Raw genomic sequence first — 20,720 nt, 5'->3', positions numbered from 1 at the left:
CCACACCTGGCCTTCAAATATAAATTTTTTTTTTTTTTTTTTTTGAGACGGAGTCTCGCTCACTCGCCCAGGCTAGAGTGCAATGGCGCCATCTCGGCTCACTGCAAGCTCCGCCTCCCGGGTTCACAGCATTCTCCTGCCTCAGCAAATACAAATTTTAAAACAAATACTACACAGTTTAATAGAGAGATTAGCAACCAAATTGTATAGGCTGGAATGACTTTTTTCAGGTTGAAGAAAATGAAATTATTTTTAAAAATCGTAACAAAATGACTTGAACATGTTATGTGATGGTTTATATGCCAAGTAATTACTTTTGATTGATTTATTAATATTTTTTAATGAGCACCCAAAAACTATTGTATAGGCAGAAAAAAGAACTATTAATCTATGAATAGAAATTTCTTTAGCAATTTCATTCTTAACAGCTATTATTTCGTTATAGCAATGTAAGGGAAGGAAAAAGGTTTTTAAAAAATTTTTTAACAGTTATTACAGCAAATTAGCCATGCATTTAAATATCTTTTATTCCTTTTTCCGGTAATTAAATTTCTGTTCAGTTTCTCAAACAATATATCCGCATTAAGCTACATCATCATAGTCCAAAGTTTTTGTTTTTTAATTAACACAAAACGAACGCCAGGTAATACTACCTCTATCAGGTAAACAGTTAATCTAAAAATGAAAATCAAAGGAAGAAAATCTAATTGGTATATAAATAATAATGAAATTGTTCTCAATAAACTAAAATGTTTTACTACATTTAACCTTTTCTGCATGAACTTGCTTAAATCACTTAACTTTCTCTCTGCTTTCATTTTTTGTCTTTATCTGGAGTGGTATTCCAGTACTCTCAATTTTCTCGAAAATGTACATTTGGGTGTCAATCAATTGATGTCTAAATCATGACAAAAGAAAAAAAAATCCACTGATACCTGAATACAAAGAAAAGAAAACAAACTGAAGACTGAGTGTTAAATACTGAAGCCTAAGGAATATTAATGATTAATTTCATCAGAGTACTTAGTTCTATCTGATGTTTTCTTGTTAATCATTTGTTTATTGCAATTTTCTGCTTGCTGAATGTAGATCTAAGAGTGCAGAGACTCTGTCTACTATTCCAGGTTATCTACATCCATGGCACTAGATACTTACAGAAGTTGGTTAACTGTGGCCGGGCCCAGGGGCTCACTCCTATAATCCCAGCACTTTGGGAGGCCGAGGCGGGTGGATCCCTAAGTCAGGAGCTCAAGACCAGCCTGAACAAGATGATAAAACCCCGTCTCTATCAAAAATACAAAAAAATTAGCTGGGTGTGGTGGCAGCACCTGTAATCCCAGCTACTCGGAAGGCTGAGCCCAAGAATTGCTTGAACCCAGGAGGCAGAGGTTTCAGTGAACCGAGATCCCGCCACTGCACTCCAGCCTGGGCAACAGAGTGAGACTCCATCTCAAAAAAAAAGAAAAGAAAAGAAAAGAAGTTGGCTAATTGTGTTTAATGAGAAGGCAGAGGAGGGAGGAAAAAGGTGGAAGAGACAAAAAAAAGAGGGAAAAAGGAAATGGAGAAAAAGGGGAAATAAAAGGAACAAAAACCAAATGTGCATTAAGCACCTTCCTAATTGTATCTGGAGCTGTATATTGTTTTTACATTCATTCATAAATACATCCAACAATCCTATGAAGTGTATATTATTAATTAGATTTTACCGATGAAGACATTGTAGTTTAGCGGGTGAAAATCCACCTAAAGGCAATTAAACCCAGGATAATGTGACTCCAATTCCCACAATTTTTTCCACCCTACACCACTGTTAGAAAGATAGACTTTGAACAATACTGAGAGAAAGGGACCAAAGGAAATGGAAAAAACAGGTTTCAACTGGTAGAATGAATAAAATCATGGTATTGCATAAGATGGCAGAAAGGAGAATTGTTAAAAGGAAGTATTATGAGTATCAAAAGCTGTTATTTTCCATAACAGCAAATTTAAACATATATATATATTATTTTAGTAATGAATAATCTTAAGATATAATTGTACTTAGGGATTTTTTTCTTTCATTCAAATTAAACTATAAAAGTAACATTAAAATAATGGGATTATGTACTATTTTTTATAAAAATTGCATCATGTAAAAATTTAAACACAAACTTTAATAATGTATGAGAAAGGAAAAAAGCAGACTTCTAATAAACTAGTAACACTAAAAATATTTGAAAAATTAGCTGATCAACTCTAATAACGTCATAAAAGGGCTATTATAAAGGTAATGCATAAGTCGTAAGTTAATTACATGACAGTTTTTTAAAAAATGTTTTCCAATCTATTGTGGCTAAAAGACAACAATATTTCAAGTACAGAGAAGAGTAGATCACAAACATGCTTACCTATCATCTAAAAATTAATAGTTTGCATTTTTAAAAGGAAGGATTTATGCTTAATGAAAAAATAACATCAAGAACAGGGAAAAAAAGACCAGCAAAAAAGTAAGCACACACATTAACTTATTATTGTTTCTGTGATGTTTCATCAAATAATCAAATATTAGACAATACTAGTTTACTAAGTGACAAGCACTGTTCTGCATGCTTTAAATGTATAAACTTAACTATTCCTGCAACAAACCCAAGAGTGGGTAACACAGTAATCTCATTTTACACACTGGGAAATGGGGACAGAAAAAGTCCCATAACTTGGCTTATACCCTGCACTTACTTAAGTGGTGAGGCAAAGACTCAAACCAAAGAAGTCTGGCTCTATAGCTGGGGCTCTCCCTAGAGCAAAGATTCTATCACAACCACTCATTAGTCATTATCTCTGTAACTACTCCAGATTTTTTCACCCTGTTAGAATACCATTGCCACAATTACTTATTAATAAAGTGGGAAATACTTGATGAAAACAATTTTAACATTTAAACCATTTTAAAAATTGAGTTACATCAATTTTAACCTGCTTTTGAAATTCTGTACCTATTCATTTCATCTATAAACATTTACTGAGTATATATATAGGTACTGCTAAACACAAGTTTAAAAAATGTTTTAATGTATAAATACATACAAGTCAAAATTCAGCCAACTTTCAATTAACTGTTAAATCAATTACTTGTGCTTCATGTCTCCGACCAAATCCTGTAACAGCTTCTAAATCTCTTTGACCCACCTTTCCCAAAAAACCCCATTACATAATAATCCTGTGGTAAGTAATCATTAAGCGCTGTTGAATCCCAAGTGACTGAATAAATAAATCTGAGGAATTCTTTTTATTTGCATTAATCATAGTAGATATTTAATTCTTACCTAACTTTATCTTCTCTCTCCTTTTATTATATCCTTCTAGGGCTAGTTCACCCCTGGCCAGTTAGTTTATGCTAAGAAATTAAGAAATTCATAATTTAAAAGATAAATTTGAAATATATACATATAGTTTTTCCAAAACCAAATGGAAAATCTTATTTTTATTTACTTCATTTTGGCCTATATATCAACTTCATATGAATATGAACACAGATAACAGTTAAAATATAAGCTAAAAAACACTTTGAAAGTTTAAGCATTGTTTTTTCTCTCCTGATACTGAAGATACTGTGGCCTAATGAAAAAGAGTGTTTCTGGCATCATCCATTGGCTAACGTGATATGAAATGACTTCATTTATATGAGCCAAAGAAAAATGGCTATTGATGAATGGAATCTTGACCTGAATCATTTGGAAAATGATTATAATCATAATCACCTCCTAGCTTACCTGTTTTATAAGTTAGAAATTTATATATCAAATTTATATACAGTATAACATACAACTGTAAATATACTTTAGGTGTCAGAGCCATAGAAGAATTTAATAATAGTAATGGTTTGTTAAGACACTGAAGTTCAGCATGGTAAAATTCATGCCACAGAAAAGCTGGAAGCAAAAATTTACTCATCTACAAAACTGAAATATTAATGTTATAATTAATATCTATAACTGACATTGTTCTCAGGTTCAGAAACTTTTCAACTTTTTTGACAGTAAAATCTAAACCTATATAAGCTGAACAAAACCTAAAATATATCTTACACATAAACTACACACAATAGTATTACAAGGATTTTCACTGAAGATGTATTTACAACAAAAAATTGAAAACCATGTAAAAATGTCACTCCCTCACTCAGAACGCTCAATGATTTCTAATTTCTCTATGAATTAGCACTGAAGTCCTACGTGGGTCTGTATGACTTTATGATCTAACTGCCCATTACTTCTCAGACCCTATCTCCTATTACTTTCTCTCTCTTCAGCTACACTGGCTTCCTTTTGGTTCCTCCTTTCATCTGCTCTTCCCACTGCCTGAAATATTCTCACCCCAAGCAGTCTCATTTGCTCTCTCAGTTCTTCCAGATATCTGCACAAATGGCACTTTATCAAGGAATCCTTCCTTAACCACACTATGTATAAAAATAACTCCCAGCACTCATTGCCTTATTGCCCCCAATCTTGCTTTTTTTCAAAAGAATTTACCACCATGTGACATACTATGTATTTATTTGTTTGTTTATTCACTGTCCCCTCCAATTAGAGTAAAAGGCCCATAACAGTGAAAACAAATTCTATTTTGTTCACTACTGTATCCCCAAAACCTAAAATGATACCTGACACCTGACATTCAATAAATATTTGCTTTTTGAATGGATAAATGAAAAAAAACTGAAGTAACTGTACATTCACTATTATAAAATGATACCTAAGATGCATTAAGTAAAAAAGCAAGATACAGAACACTACTGTTGTATGCTGTAACACTTGTGTAAAAAGAACAGCAGGCATATCATTTACACTTGTGTTTTTATTTGCATACAACACTTCTGGAAGATTACCTCTAAGGAAGAGAACTGGGACACTAAGAAAGGACACTTAGACCCATGTAAATGTGCATGTACTACCTATCCAAAGAAATTAAGGTTTTTCCTTTATGAATAAGAAATATGTAAAATAATCTTACAGAAAATCTACAATTCATACTTAAGAACTCAGTGAATATCAATTAATTTACCTGTAAACTAAGGTACATTTTTTAGAAAAACTGAAATAGAAGCTGATATTTTTCTACAGGATTTTATAATATACAAAATATGTTTATACACATTATCTCATTTCAGTGTCACAGAAATCCTGTAAGGCAAAAGAGGTATATATTCATTTCCTCCCTCTACGGAAAAGAAAACTCAGAAAGGTTAAGGGATCTTAACCATGTCTGGCTAATCTTTGTATTTTTAGTAGAGACAGGGTTTTGCCATGTTGGTCAGGCTGGTCTCGAACTCCTGACCTCAAGTGATCCACGGGCCTCAGCCTCCCAAAGTGCTAGGATTACAGGCGCAAACCACCAGGCCTGGCCTGACAATTTTTAGCCAACAAATTAAATGTGTTGTTGGTTGAAAATGTAACAAAATAGGATTTTACTGATACTGCTGCTCAATTAAGCAAAACTAAGTAACATGTGCAGAGAAGAAAAATCTATGTTGTGTGTTGGTCTAGCAAAAGGGCTTAAACAAAATGTGCAATTTCAGAAACAAAGGCAATTATCATACAGACTAGCTAATTACATTTATAAAGTAGAAATTCATTTTATGGTGCCATAAATTCTAGACATATCTGACATATAAGGGAGACTCTTTCAACAAAAATTATTATATGTTTGGTCCAAAGCATATATTGTCATAAAGTTAAATAACCAGATTATTCTGAAGGGAAAACGAAGTCCAATTATTTAATTCAGCATATACTAATTGAATATTTATTATGTTCTTACAACTAGATAACTAAAAAAAGAATGAAGAACATGTCTCTTAATAAATAAATAAATAAATAAATAAATATAATAAGAAAGCAGCTGATGTTTACTTGGAGATTAGAAAATTTTGATATTCTCATCACTGTGAGTCAACAGAGTTCACCCTCCTAATTTGCTCCAGAAGGCAGATTCTTCTACCCCAAAGAGCTAGAATTGAACTATTATATAAAATAATCCTTAAATTCAACAACACATAAGCAATTCAAAATTCTTCAGAATTATTAGACATTTAATCTGTCATTATCCCAATTCAATAAGAAAGGATTTATCTTCTAACTAAGCATTTCCCAAAGTATGCTCCATTACACTATGGTCCTCCCAGGAGGCTCCTTGAAAGGGAATTGGGACAATATTTTCAGAAACACTGCATCCCATATACTATTTCCCCCTTGGACATTTAATATTAAAGGCTTAGAAAGTTCCTGCAGTCAATATTACTGTTTCTTTTGGCTTCACCCAACATGACTCAAATTCTGCAACTCACTTCTCCATGGTACACTTCTTAACATCCCACAAACTAATGGGAAATACACAGAGAAAATAAAGATCTAATCTAATGAATCAAATCAATACAACAAAACTCAGACTAGTACTACTGCCAGCCTAGCAAAATAAATATGACTAACATTGCTAGGAAAACCTTCCATAAATTATCATTGTACTTCTCCTTTTGTAATTATAATGGTCTCAAAGATATCATCTCTAAATGCTCTAAAGATGTGTATTCTTATAGCCCGTTTTTTTCCTCTTTAATAGAGTACTGCCAAAGTTCAAATGAATTTATTCCCCCTCCGGTAGTCTATAAGCTTGATGGTATAACAGAAAAGACTAATCTTTCCAATGTTATCCTAAGCCTTAGAAACACTCTGTTAAGTTCAGAGAAGTAGAGTGAACCTTTGCAAATAAGGTAAAACTGTGATTTATGGTTTTTAAAGGTTACTCTACTAATAGACCAAAATTATTTTTATTTTATTTTGAGACTGGCTCTCACTCTGTCACCCAGGCTGGAGTGCAGTGGCACAATCGTGGAACACTGCAGTCTCAAACTACACACCTTAAACAATCCTTTTACCTCAAACTCCTGAGTGGTTAGCATTACAGGCATGTGCCACCACACCCGACTAATTTTTATATATTTGTAGAGACAAGGTTTTGCCATGTTGCCCAGGCTGGTCTCAAACTCCTGAACTCAGGCAGTAAATCCACCTCAGCCTCCCAAAATGCTGACATTACAGGTGTGAGCCACTACATCCAGTCTACCAAAATTATTTTTTAAATAATATTAAGGTTTATAAAATGGCAGGGTTTTATTTCTGTGGTAGACACAAAGTGATTATTATTTATTATATTCCCTTACAGGTGTGCCATTGAAGATGCTTCACTTTTATTTCTGATTCTGCTTACTGTCACTGGCTAGAGGAAATTCCAAAATTTTAAGATTCTATTATCTAACCTATTATGCCATAATCACCTGATTTAACAACCTATCTCCTCAAAGCACTTTTCCTTATACTCCATTCCTCTCTTGATGGCCTCTGTCTTTATTACACAGCTTTAATTCTTTAATCATTATAATCACTTTCTTATATGCATCTTCACTCCTCTTCCCCTCTCTTACTTAATTCATCATACTTATCTAGCATAACCACAGCTTTCCTCATTAGCATAGTTGTGAAGGAAAAAAAAAAGAAAGAAATTCATTTTTCACAGTTCCAGGAAGTCCAAGATCAAGGTGCTAGCAGACCTGGCATCTGAAAAGAGCCCAATCTCCAATTCCAAGATGGACCACTGAAGACTGCATCCTCCAAAGGAAAAGAATCCTTTGGTTTCACATGGCGGGGGTGGGGAGGTGGGCAAAGAGGTAAAGGGGAGCCAAACTCCCTCTTTTATAAAGACATTAATTACATCCATAAGGATGAAGCCCTCCTGACCTAATCACCTCTCAAAGGTCCCACCTCTTAACACTCTTACAATGGCAATTAAATTTCCACATGAGTTTTGGAGAGAGCAAACGTTTAAACTGTAACAATGAGCTTTAACTCTCATTGACTCATAGAGCTAAAATAAACATCAAGACTAAGACAAAATAAACATCAAACACTAAGAACTTGACTATACAACCCCAACCCTGATTACACATTTGATCATTTGGAACCTTTATAAGAATACCCAATGCATGGCACATTTCAATGGTACAGTTCCTTAAAGCACTCTTCTACAGAAGCATTCACCACCGAAGAGTCGGTATTTTCAGTAACACTGCCATTAACTAAGATCATGGAGCATAATTCATTGTCTCTCCTGCTCTCAAATAATATTTACACAAATTTTCACAATTTTCCATGATACAATAGTTTAATTTTGAGTTCTTCCAATTCTTCCAATATTCAAATAAGTCTCTTATTGAAATTGTATACCATTTATAGCAATGGAATTTATAAAGAGAAAATACCAATAGAACCACTTATGTGAATTCCAGGCTTTTCTTGTAACATTATTCATAAAGCAATGCTTAAACAGTCATTTGGGGACAAAATCATTTAAAGCTTTGATTGTTTTCGTTTCCAAGTAAACTGAAAAGTAATATTCTAATTATTAATTGAAAAACTGAATTACACAAAGATTTCACTGACACATGTAGATGTATTCTTAAGTTTTAGGAATTGGGCATTGTAAAAATTTCTAATTGTTCTGAAAAAATGCTGTAAAATCTCATTAACTGGCATTAATTTGTAAGAATGCCCTGTCTTATTTGTAAAATATTAATTTATTGCTTTAAACTACATATATTATAGTATTCTTTTACAAAAAAATCCTTAATGACTAAAAGCATTGCTTCAGCAAATAGGCAAGATCTAATTTATAATTAGTATTTCAACAATTTAAAATAAATTTGATAAAATGAAATATGCAGCACCATCTTGTAAAAATATATTAAGTATTATCACCATTGAATTAATGGACACGAGAGCAGAACTTGAAGGTGCCGGAAGGCAATTCATTCTCTTAAACTACACTATACACTACCTCAGAAACATTATCTATTCATTAGTTAAACAAAACTTTTCTTCAATGATTATGAAATATTAAACTCCAGATGATCAGAATTTTTTTTTTTTTTTTTGAGATGGAGTCTTGCCCTTTCACCAGGCTGGAGTGCAGTGGCACGATCTCAGCTCACTGCAACCTCCACCTCCCAGGTTCAAATGATTCTCCCACCTCAGCCTCCTGAGTAGCTGGGATTACAGGCACACACCACCACACCCAGCTAATTTTTTTTTTTTTGTATTTTAGTAGAGACAGGGTTTCACCATGTTGGCCAGGATGGTCTCGATCTCCTGACCTTGTGATCCACCCACCTCGGCCTCCCAAGGTGCTGGGATTACAGGCGTGAGCCACCGCGCCCAGCCAAGCCTTTAAATAACCAATTCCACAACGTCATGGTAACAGGGAAATATTATAAACCACACTCAGTGAACAAAAGATTTACTAGATAAGATATTCCAAAGCCAAACAAAAGGAAAACATTTCAAAAGTTCCTTTGAAAGAACACATATGCCAGATACTTATCAAGAATCATGAAGCAAGAAAGGGAATTTAATAGGGTCCTTGGTACATGTGCTGAGATCCTTATAGCTAGGACAGTGAAAGAGTGCAAGGATTCATAATTCACAATTCACAAAGTGATGTGTAGATTAATATGGCTCAATATTACTAACAACCACAATAGTTTAATTTTAATATTTAATAGTAATAGTAATAACCACAATTGTTTAAATACTTCATATTCATTACTACATTTACCGTATTCTCAGATACGGTCTTTTTTTTTTTTTTTTGCTATGGAGACATATGAACCCACTTAATCAAATCATACTATTTAGAACAACATAAAGTAAAAAGTACTAAAATATCAGCTATAGCATAACTATAATAGTTCTGTAAGTTACCCACAGGAAATGCCAAGGATGTAGCTCAGACTTTTTTAACCTTGGCACTTTTGACATTTTAGCCTGGATAATTTTGTGCTGGGAGTGTGAAGGGAGGGGCTGTTCTGTGCATTCTAAGAGGTTTACCAGCATCACCAATCTCTACCCACTAGATCTGGTTATGACAATCACAGTGTCTGGTGATACTACCAAATGTCCCAGGTATGTGTGTGGCAGGGGGTGAGAACCACCAACATACATAGATAGATAGATCAATAGGTAGATAATAGAAAAAGGAAAGATAAAGAAAGAAAGAGGAAGAGAGAGAAAAGAAAGAGGAAGAGAGAAAGGAAAGAAAAAGAAAAAGAAAGGAAGGAAGGAAGGAAGGAAAGGGGAGGGGAAGGGAGGGGAGGGGAGGGGAAGGGAGGGAAGGGAAGGGAAGGGAGGAAGGGGAGGGGAAGGGAGGGAAAGGAAGGAAGAAGGAGAAAGGAGAGAGAAAGAGGAAGGAAAGGAAAGGAGAGGACAGAAAGGAAGAGGAGAGAGGGGAGCAAAGAAGAGAAGAAAGGAGAGGAGTGGAAAGGAAAGGAGAGAAGAAGAAAGACTTTATACTAGGCATTCTTAAACAGTTAATAAAACTATGAAATAAAGTTGAATTTCAAGTTGGTGAATTTGAATGTATTTATTGTAGTCTAAGGGTCACATTTATGAGCAGAAAAAAAATTCTTAAACTAAATCAATATTTTGTATTTTAAAAGCAATAAATACACCAGCAATCTCAGATAAATAAGATTCTACTTAAGAAGAAAAAAATCAATAAATAGCTTTCTTCTTATTGCTTACTTCTCTCTTAAGAATAAGACCCTACCTTCCTGCTGTCTCCCAGGAATAAAAACAACTGCAGTCTTTCCTTTCAGTTTTGAAGGCAAGAGAAGAACTTTTTCCTCTGACTCTACAGGTGGTTCCTGAAAGTGCTCTCCAGGTGACCTGAGGTGACTGACAAGTCTATTTTGCATTTACAAACAAGTTTAATAGGACCTGCATATTAACAAGAGTAACAATTTGTTATAGCAAATTTAAATAATTTTTGTATGCACTTATTACCTAGACACTACTCTTCCAAGTTTCTCATTGGATTATTCTTTAGCTTACCATAGATGTAACTGATCGTGCATCTTCTTCATAATTTACTACTGGAGGTGGCTCTTTCCCATCATTTTCTTGCACTTTTTGCTCTAGTAATTCCTTCTGTGCTGAAAACTTTGCTTCAGTGCATCTCAGCTGCTGGACTGACTGTTTCAGTTCTTCAAGTGCCTGTTTTTGGCTTAGCAGAAGCACAATACTAAAAGAGAATAAATATAAATGATTTCAACTTCATTAAGAAGACATTAAGGAAACCTCATATATGTAAATTATGCTTTTCTTTGATTTCATTTTTATAAGAGCCCTTTAGAATCATAAAAAATATGAAACTAAGCAGATTTTAAGTTATCACAGTATTTATTACATGCTAGCATTAACAAAATATAATGAAGTGTTTGGAGTCAAATCCAAATTCAAGATGCTTTCAAATATATTATGATCTATGGCATTCATTTTATTTTAGCTAAACTATATACCTCACAGAGTAGACACTTAGGTCCAGAGGTATAGGGCCTAGAATGAATTAAAATAACAGAAGCAGGATCTTAAATTTACTTTAAGTATCAAAGGCAATATAGCTAGGGTCAGATCTGTGCCTAGGGTAAAATAAATAAAATCAAGGTGACAGTCTGGACACAAAGCTTGTGTATATGTTGTGAGGGATGTGTGTCTGGCGGCAAGTGAAACTACTATGACAAGGACTAAGGGCTAAGATGTAACTGGAGGAATGAGTAAAACAAAGGTCTCCAAATCTTTCCAACGTCTCCAATATAAATACAGTATACTTTCCCATCCCTCCTTTAAAGTACAGGGCCACAGGTTGTCTTACTGTGACTTTTTAACCCTTGGAGGCTGCCTTCAATGGGAATTTCAAACTAATTCACCCACATTGAAGCCACGTGTAAACAGGTAGTGGTGGTAGATACTTCTGGAAATAGCCCACACTATATATTACAATAATTTCCAAAAAGGACCGTGCCATGCACTGCTGAAAGTAAGTTATTAATATGTAAGAGACAATAGATTATAAATTAGACAAAATGTCAAAATTGGAAAATAAGGTCAGAAAATACTATCTTCTTAAATTTAAACTATAAGTCTCAACATAAACTGAATAAATATTCACAGACAAAAGTAACCCACACTAAGAGAGATTTATTTATATATATGATGCTGATGGATATTTTGAAAACTAAATTCAAACTTAATTGAGCACAGTGCAACCTCAGTGACTGCTATAAAGAAAGCTGTAATCTCCTTATTGTAACAAGTTTCAGGTGAGTGTCCTAACAAACAGTAGAGAAAAAAGTCTAAGAAAAGTAAAACTAATGAGTAAGAACATTTGTGAGAGACCTAGTAATATCCAGAAGACAGACCTCTCCAGTGGAATTCAATAAATGGTAATCAGCATTTACATCATTATCATTCAACAGTCTGTGATCTGTGTTCTAAATCCACAGACTTCTTCATAAGTTCATGCTGGTTTATTTATTAGTTAGTATCTTCTTTTTAATAATAAATTGACATTTCTGATTTCTCAGTAATCTCTTGAAAGAAAGTTGATTTTTTAAAAGAATCACTTTTGTGAACATAAATTTCTAAGGACCAGGTCCTGGAAAAGACTGCACCCATTATGTACTTAAAGCTTCCAGAGGGTTTCCTCTTTGCATCTCCTAGCTACCAAGAAAAAAAAAAGACTCCAACAATGACAACAATATAAGAAATAATTTAAAACATACAAGGTAAAGTGGAAAAATATATTTTCATGTACTTCCGGAATATCAGTCACAAAAAGGTGAATGATTTCAAAAATGTGGGCAAAATCAACAGGGAGGTATACTTCAAAATAATAATACTCTAAAGTAGTATTGTTACAGTAATTTTACACAAACGAATTTCATAAAGACTACCAGGAAAAATAAAAAAAATTTAAAAGAATAAAAATAAACTTTGCAAAATGAAATCAGAAATGACAAGGCACAAGGCAAGTAAATATTAACTGAACATCTGAATATAATTCAAAAACATTTATTTATGGAAGTAAATAATATACATTTTACTCTCTTAAACCTATGGTCAGCTGAATAATGTCCCCCAAAAGATAACCACATCCTTATGCCCAGAACCTGTAGTGTTTGTCAGCTTACGTGGCAAAGAAACTTTTCAGATATGATTAAATTGAGGATGTTGAGATGTCCGATTATCCTGTATTATTCAGGTGGGCCTAGTGTAATCATAAGAATACTTACAAGAAGGAGGCAAGATGAACAATGTCAGAAAAGGTGATGTGACAATGGAAATGGTGGAAGAAAAGGCAGTGTAACTTGGGACCAAGAGTGATGTAATGAGGACAGCCTCTAAAAACTGGAAAAGGCAAAGGAAGCAAATTCTCCCCTAGAGTGTCTAGAAGAAACTAGCCCTAGGAATACCATAGTTTTAGGCCAGTAAAACTGATTTCTGACTTGTGACCTCCAGAACTATAAGAGAATAAATCTGTGTTGTTTTAAGCTACTGTACTCGTGGCAATTTGCTACAGCAGCAAGATGAAAGTAATACAAACCCTGATAGACAACATATCCATTTTATGTTCATTTAAAAGGAAAAGATTAAACCATTATAAAAAGTTAAAATTTTGAAAAAACGATTTCAAGTCATATATATTCTCAAGTTTAGAGAAACAGCTTAATTTTAACAAGTGACTTCTCATGATGTTTCCAATCTCTATGCTTTACTGTTATTTCACCTTTATTTTACCCTGGATAATAAATGGGATCTTCCAAAATGATTCTAAAACATTTGTATAATTTTTAAAAATCACTAATAACTGATTCTCTAACTACAACAATCCATTTTCTCTAATCCTCACTGGGAACCTGAATAGCCCGATATGATTTGGCTGTGTCCTCACCCAAATCTCAAATTGTAGCCCCCCTAATTCCCACGTATCATGAGAGGGACCTGTTGGGAGGTAATTGAAACATGATGGGGGGTCTTTTCTGTGCTGTTCTCGCGGCAGTACGTGAGTCTCATGAGATCTGGTGGTTTCATAAGGGGGATCCCCTGCACATGCTCTCTCTCTTGCCTGCTGCCATGTAAGACGTGTCTTGCTTCCCCTGCACCTTCCACCATGATTGTGAGGCCTCCCCAGGCATGTGGAACTGTGAGTCAATTAAACCTCTTTCCTTTCCCCTGTCCTCTTTCTGGTCCAGCCCGCAGGACCAGCACCACGCTCTTCTATTATTTTTTCAAGTCCCTTGAGGGCAAGCATGTGGTCGTGGAACTCAAGAATGACCTGAGCATCTGTGGAACCCTCCATTCTGTGGATCGGTATCTCAACATCAAACTAACTAATATCAGTGTCATAGACTCTGAGAAATATCCTCACATGTTATCAGTGAAGAACTGCTTCATTCAGGGCTCAGTGGTCCGATACATGCAGTTGCCAGCAGACGAGGTCCACAAACAGTTGCTACAGGATGCAGCAAGGAAGGAACCCTTGCAGCAGAAACAGTGATGGCTCCTCCTCCTCTTCCCCTTCCTCTTTCATTGGTGACCCCCAAGTCCCAACCTGAACCCCTAATGCCCAATACTTGAAGAGGTTTTGTTTGTTTGTTTACTAATGATCGTTTTGTGGGGTTTTTTAAGGGATGAGTGGATGAGAGGAATAATAGAGAACAGCTATCCTCTGTTGAGAAGGTGAGAAAAAGTAGGATGGAAAACTTCAAAGCCTTCCAGTCCCCAGCACCTGCCTTTGTTGCTACTTCCCTGGAGATGGTGGAAGAGTTTCCTAGGTCTTTCAGGGGCAGCATGTGATTCATTTGGAGATGGAAGGAATCTGTCCCACATCAGGAATAAAATTTATGATGCAGGGGAAAAAAAAAAAAAAAAACCTCTTTCCTTTATAATTTACCCAGTCTTGGGTATGTCTTTATTAGCAGTGTGAAAACAGACTAATACAGCCCCCTACCAGTTTTATGTGTTATTTAAATATCTGTTCATGGAGTCCTCCACTGTAAGTAGGAACACTTTCTTTAAAAGACGACTATTCATTGATTTTTATGCTCTTAGAACCATCCAAGATCAAGCTCTTATGACCATAAGGCCTTTTTTTCCTTTCCTTTTGCTTGCCCCACACAGTTGCCTTTTGTCTTGTTGCTGTTCGTCATTCAGCCGCTCACACAAATATGGGGGGAGACTTATGGGGACACTGTCACCTAGAATGCTGAACATGCTGTCTGTGGGATGTTTTTGTTCTTATTGTTGTTGTTTCCATGTGGTATCCTCATTACTATGCCTGCTTCTGAGAGACATTTTGGCCAGATTATAAAACTACATCCCAAGACCTCCTACTTCTAGGAAGATAGAATGTACTGACTCTGCAGAAAAGAGTTAACGTAGATTTAAATGTAAAATCTCAAACTATTATACTTGTAGAAAAAAAAAATAAAGAAGAAAACCTTTGAGATCTAGGATTAATAGAATGTACTGCCTCAGCAGAAAAGAGTTAACATAGATGTAAATGTAAAATCTCAAACTATTAAACTTTTAGAAAAAAAAAACAAGGGTAGGAAGAACCAATATCGTGAAAATGGCCATACTGCCCAAAGTAATTTATAGAGTCAATGCCATCCCCATCAAGCTACCAATGACTTTCTTCACAGAATTGGAAAAAACTACTTTAAAGTTCATATGGAACCAAAAAAGAGCCTGCATCGCCAAGTCAATCCTAAGCCAAAAGAACAAAGCTGGAGGCATCACGATACCTGACTTCAAACTATACTACAAGGCTACAGTAACCAAAACAGCATGGTACTGGTACCAAAACAGAGATGTAGACCAATGGAACAGAACAGAGCCCTCAGAAATAATGCCGCATATCTACAACTATCTGATCTTTGACAAACCTGACAAAAACAAGCACTGGGGAAAGGATTCCCTATTTAATAAATGGTGCTGGGAAAACTGGCTAGCCATATGTAGAAAGCTGAAACTGGATCCCTTCCTTACACCTTATACAGAAATTAATTCAAGATGGATTAAAGACTTAAACGTTAGACCTAACACCATAAAAACCCTAGAAGAAAACCTAGGCATTACCATTCAGGACATAGGCATGGGCAAGGACTTCATGTCTAGAACACCAAAAGAAATGGCAACAAAAGCCAAAATTGACAAACGGGATCTAATTAAACTAAAGAGCTTCTGCACAGCAAAAGAAACTACCATCAGAGTGAACAGGCAACCTACAGAAAGAGAGAAAATTTTTGCAAGCTGCTCATCTGACAAAGGGCTAATATCCAGAATCTACAATGAACTCAAACAAATTTACAAGAAAAAAACAAACAACCCCATCAAAAAGGGGGTGAAGGATATGAACAGACACTTCTCAAAAGAAGACATTTATGCAGCCAAAAGACACATGAAAAAAATGCTCATCATCACTGGCCATCAGAGAAATGCAAATCAAAACCACAATGAGATACCATCTCACACCAGTTAGAATGGCAATCATTAAAAAGTCAGGAAACAACAGGTGCTGGAGAGGATGTGGAGAAACAGGAACACTTTTACACTGTTGGTGGGACGGTAAACTAGTTCAACTGTTGTGGAAGTCAGTGTGGCGATTCCTCAGGGACCTAGAACTAGAAATACCATTTGACCCAGCCATCCCATTACTGGGTATATACCCAAAGGACTATAAATCATGCTGCTATAAAGACACATGCACACGTATGTTTATTGTGGCACTATTCACAATAGCAAAGACTTGGAACCAACCCAAATGTCCAACAATGATAGACTGGATTAAGAAAATGTGGCACATATACACCATGAAATACTATGCAGCCATAAAAAAGGATGAGTTCATGTCCTTTGTAGGGACATGGATGAAGCTGGAAACCATCATTCTCAGCAAACTATCACAAGGACAAAAAAACCAAACACCGCATGTTCTCACTCATAGGTGGGAATTGAACAATGAGAACACATGGACACAGGAAGGGGAACATCACACACCGGGGCCTGTTGTTGCGTGGGGGAAGGGGGAGGGATAGCATTTGGAGATATACCTAATGTTAAATGACGAGTTACTGGGTTCAGCACACCAGCATGGCACATGTATACATATGTAACTAACCTGCACGTTGTGCACATGTACCCTAAAACGTAAAGTATAATAAAAAAAAAAGAAAAAAAAAACAAACAAAAGAGAAAAAAACCTCTGAGATCTAGGACTAGGCAAAGACTTCTTAGACTTAACACCAAAGCACCAACCACAAACCTTAAAAGAAATAAAATGGACTTTTTTTTTAAGACTAGTCAAGTGCAGTAGTGAGAATGGGAGAAGGAGTAAAACGAGGAGTTCAATCTATAACTGACTGTGAACAATCAATTGAGTTATCCACTCTTCGGACCAGCCTAAAATGGACTTCTTTAAAATTAAAAAATTTTGTTCTATGAAAGACCCTGTCTCTTGAGAAGATAAAAAGACAAGGTACAGACTGGGAGAAAACTATTTACAAATGACATATGTGTCAAAGAACTAGAATATATAAAGAACTAGAATATATAAAGCTCTAGAATATATAAAGAGTGCAGAGTTAAAAAACAAAACAAAACAAAACAACCAAACATCCAATTAGAAAATGAGCAAAAAAGTTGAACAGGTATTTCACGAAAACAGGATATACAAATGACAAACCAGCACATTGAAAAGATGTTCCAGAACATCATTCATTAGGGAAATGCATATTAAAACAACAATGAGATATCACTACACATCTTTTAGAATGGCTCAAATATAGCATAGTGAAAAAGTGACACCACCAAATGCTGGCAAGGATGAGAAAAAACTGGATCACTCACACATTGCTGATGGAAATGTGTAATAGTACAAAACTAAACTAAACATACAATTACCATACAATTAGCAACTGTGATCCTAGGCAGTTACTCCAGAAAAATTGTAACTTATGTTCACATAAAAACCTATACATAAATGTTTGGAGACCTTTATTTGTACTAGCTCCAAACTAGAAACAAACCAAACATCCTTCAAAGGGTGAATGATTAGACAAATTGTGGTATATCCATACTGTTAGGGGTTGAATTGTATCCCCCAGGAAGATATGCTCAAGTCCTAATGCCTGAAATCTCAGAATGTGACCTTATTTGGAAACAGGGTTGTTTCAGATGTAGTTAAGATGAGATTATACAGGAGTAGGATAGGCCATTAATGGAAAAGACTGTTGCCCTTATAAGAAGAGGAAAATTTGGATACAGAGAAGAGACACACAGGCAGAGGGTCATATGGAGACAGAGGCAGAGACTAGAGTAAAGCTTCTACAAACCAAGAAATGTCAAGGATTGTCAGCCATCACCAGAAGCTAGGAGACAGGCATGAAACAGATTCTCCTTTGGAGTTCTCAGAAGGAACCAACACTGCCAACACCTCATTACATACTTTCACCCTCCAGAACTGAGAATAAATTTAATAAATAAAATTATGTTGCTTTAAGCTACCCACTGTGCAGTATTTTATTACAGCAGCCCTAAGAAACTGATACACATACCATGGAACACTGCACTACTCAACAGTAAAAAGGAATGAAAGTAGCTGGATGAATTTCTGAAGAATTATGCTGAATAAAAAGCCAATGCCAAAAGGTTACATACAACATGACTCCATTTATATCACATTCTTGAAAAAACACACTAATGGTTTCTAGGGGTTACTAAGGAGGTAGATGGACTGAAGGAAGTGTGGCTAAAAGTACAACATGAGAGATCCTTGTAGTGATGGAAATGTTCTGTATCTTAACTGCATAATGTCAGTATCTGGGTTGTGATATTATTTTATGGTTTTACAAGATGCTACCATTGAGGGAAACTGAGTATAGGGTACACGGGATCTCTCTGTATTATTTCTAACAACTAAATGTCAATCCATAATGATCTCAAAATAAAAAAATTAATTTAAAAATATGTATCACCGCTGCTACATCACGCTTCCTCTGGTGAGGTGAGGAATTTTTTCATTTTTTATTTTTGTGGGTACATAATAGGTATATATATTTATGAAGTACATGAGATATTTTGATAAAAGCATGTGATGTGTTATACTCACATCACGGTAAACGGGGTATCCATCACCTCAAGCATTTATCCTTTGTGTTATAAACTATCCTATTATACTCTTTTAGTTATTTTAAAATGTACAATTAAATTATTATTGACTACAGTTACCCTGTTGTGCTATCAAATATCAGGTCTCATTCATTTGCCCAGCACTTCCCACTACCCTTCCCAGCCTCTGATAACCATCCTTCTACTCTCTATCTCCAGGAGTTCAAATGTTTTAATTTTTAGCTCCTACAAATAAGCAAGAACATGCAAAGTTTGTCTTTCTGTGCCTGGCTTATTTCACTTAACATAATGACCTCCAGTGCCATCCATGTTGAAAATGACAGGATCTCATTCTTTTTTTAATGGCTGAATAGTAGTCCATTGTGTATAGGTACATTTCCTTTGTCTGTTGATGGACACGTAGGTTGCTTCGGACTCTTGACTATTGTGAATAGTGCTGCAATAAACATGGGAGTGTAAATATCTCTTGGAGACACTGACTTCCCTTCTTTTGAGTATATACCTAGCAGTGAGATTGCTGGATGGCATGGTAGCTCTATTTTTAGTTTTTTCAGGTACCTCCAAACTGTTCTCCATAGTGGTTACACTAACTGAGTTCAGGTTTTTATCTTCTCATATGTCTTGGGCGCCTACCCAAATAATCTGTTTTGGAGGAAGGTCTTTTTTATTCCCCTTCAGGACTTGAAAGTTTCTACTGTATTGTACCATGCTGGCAATCAATTAGATACTCAGAGACACTATCTTAATACCAAGAATAAGATTAAAACGTAAATTTCCTGGTTTTGATTTTTAGTGGTTTTTAAGGATAATGAGACTTGCAGGGGGTGTATGTCTCTAGTCCTAACATTTTAAAATCAACATGTCTGATCATGAAATCAATTAGAAAAATTCATTTCTTCCAATTAATCCCATTTCAGCCTTTATCTATGACATAATCTCTCATATATGAACATGTTCCTTTTGTTCAATAATTATTGAAAAAAATGTATTGCTGGTCTCACTATGTAAAATACTATACAATTATGTTTATAATACCATTGAGCAAACAAGCAATACATACTTCAGTAAGTAGAAATTATAGTAAATGTATGATTATTTAGTACATGATGCATAGGAGGCCATAAATAAATTTAAAACGTGGAAGCTTCCAGAACCCTTGCATGTGCTATTTCCTATGTCTGAACACTCTTTCCATGCATTCTTCACATGCAGGTTATCTTCTGCCTATCTCCTAGGAGACCTCTGACCGTACTTCTTAAGTAGCTGTTCCTCTGTTATTCTTCTATCTGAACCCTTATTTCACAGCAATGATAATAACTGGTAATTATTTTAATTTTGTGTTGGTTTCCTCCACAAAAGTGTAAGTTTCATGAGCCACGTGACCATACGTGTCTTACCTCTCACTGCAATCACAGCATCTGGTAGATGCACAATCAACATTGTTGAATGAATTCCCTATTTACATAGCACATTTTTTTTAAATCACATAATTCTAAAACTCTGAGCCAAAGGAAAAAAATGTAAGGTTCCTGAATTTCAAAACTAGAACACTATTCTAGATTATTAAGTCTTAGCTTTACCAGAAGCTAGATGTGACATTTTGCAAGTCTCTCAAAATTTCTGGACCTCAGATGTCACATTATTTGAAAGGCAGTGAGGCTAAAT

General features: G+C 35.2%; 1 protein-coding gene and 1 pseudogene across 21 annotated transcripts in view; one reads left to right on the top strand and one right to left on the bottom strand.

The window, feature by feature from the left end:
* The window catches only part of FER (FER tyrosine kinase), a 448,945-nt gene that overhangs the window by 288,077 nt on the left and 140,148 nt on the right, over nucleotides 1-20,720 (bottom strand). For 19 of the 21 annotated variants that reach the window (XR_007058589.1, XR_007058591.1, XR_007058590.1 and 16 more), the window contains one exon: nucleotides 10,917-11,106. Coding sequence is in view for 17 of the 21 variants with exons in the window: in NM_005246.4 (NP_005237.2) it covers nucleotides 10,917-11,106 (190 nt within the window). In the remaining 4 variants the exon portion in view is untranslated. Of the gene's footprint in view, nucleotides 1-10,631; nucleotides 10,803-10,916; nucleotides 11,107-20,720 lie in introns of those variants that run through there. The other 2 variants (NR_146155.2, XM_047416946.1) reach the window with 2 other exon arrangements.
* On the top strand, nucleotides 14,095-14,775 carry LSM2P2 (LSM2 pseudogene 2; annotated as a pseudogene).

The sequence above is a fragment of the Homo sapiens genome, chromosome 5 (genome assembly GCF_000001405.40).
Source record: "Homo sapiens chromosome 5, GRCh38.p14 Primary Assembly".
Classification (NCBI taxonomy): domain Eukaryota; kingdom Metazoa; phylum Chordata; class Mammalia; order Primates; family Hominidae; genus Homo; species Homo sapiens.
This window is presented reverse-complemented; position numbering and strand designations above follow the sequence as displayed.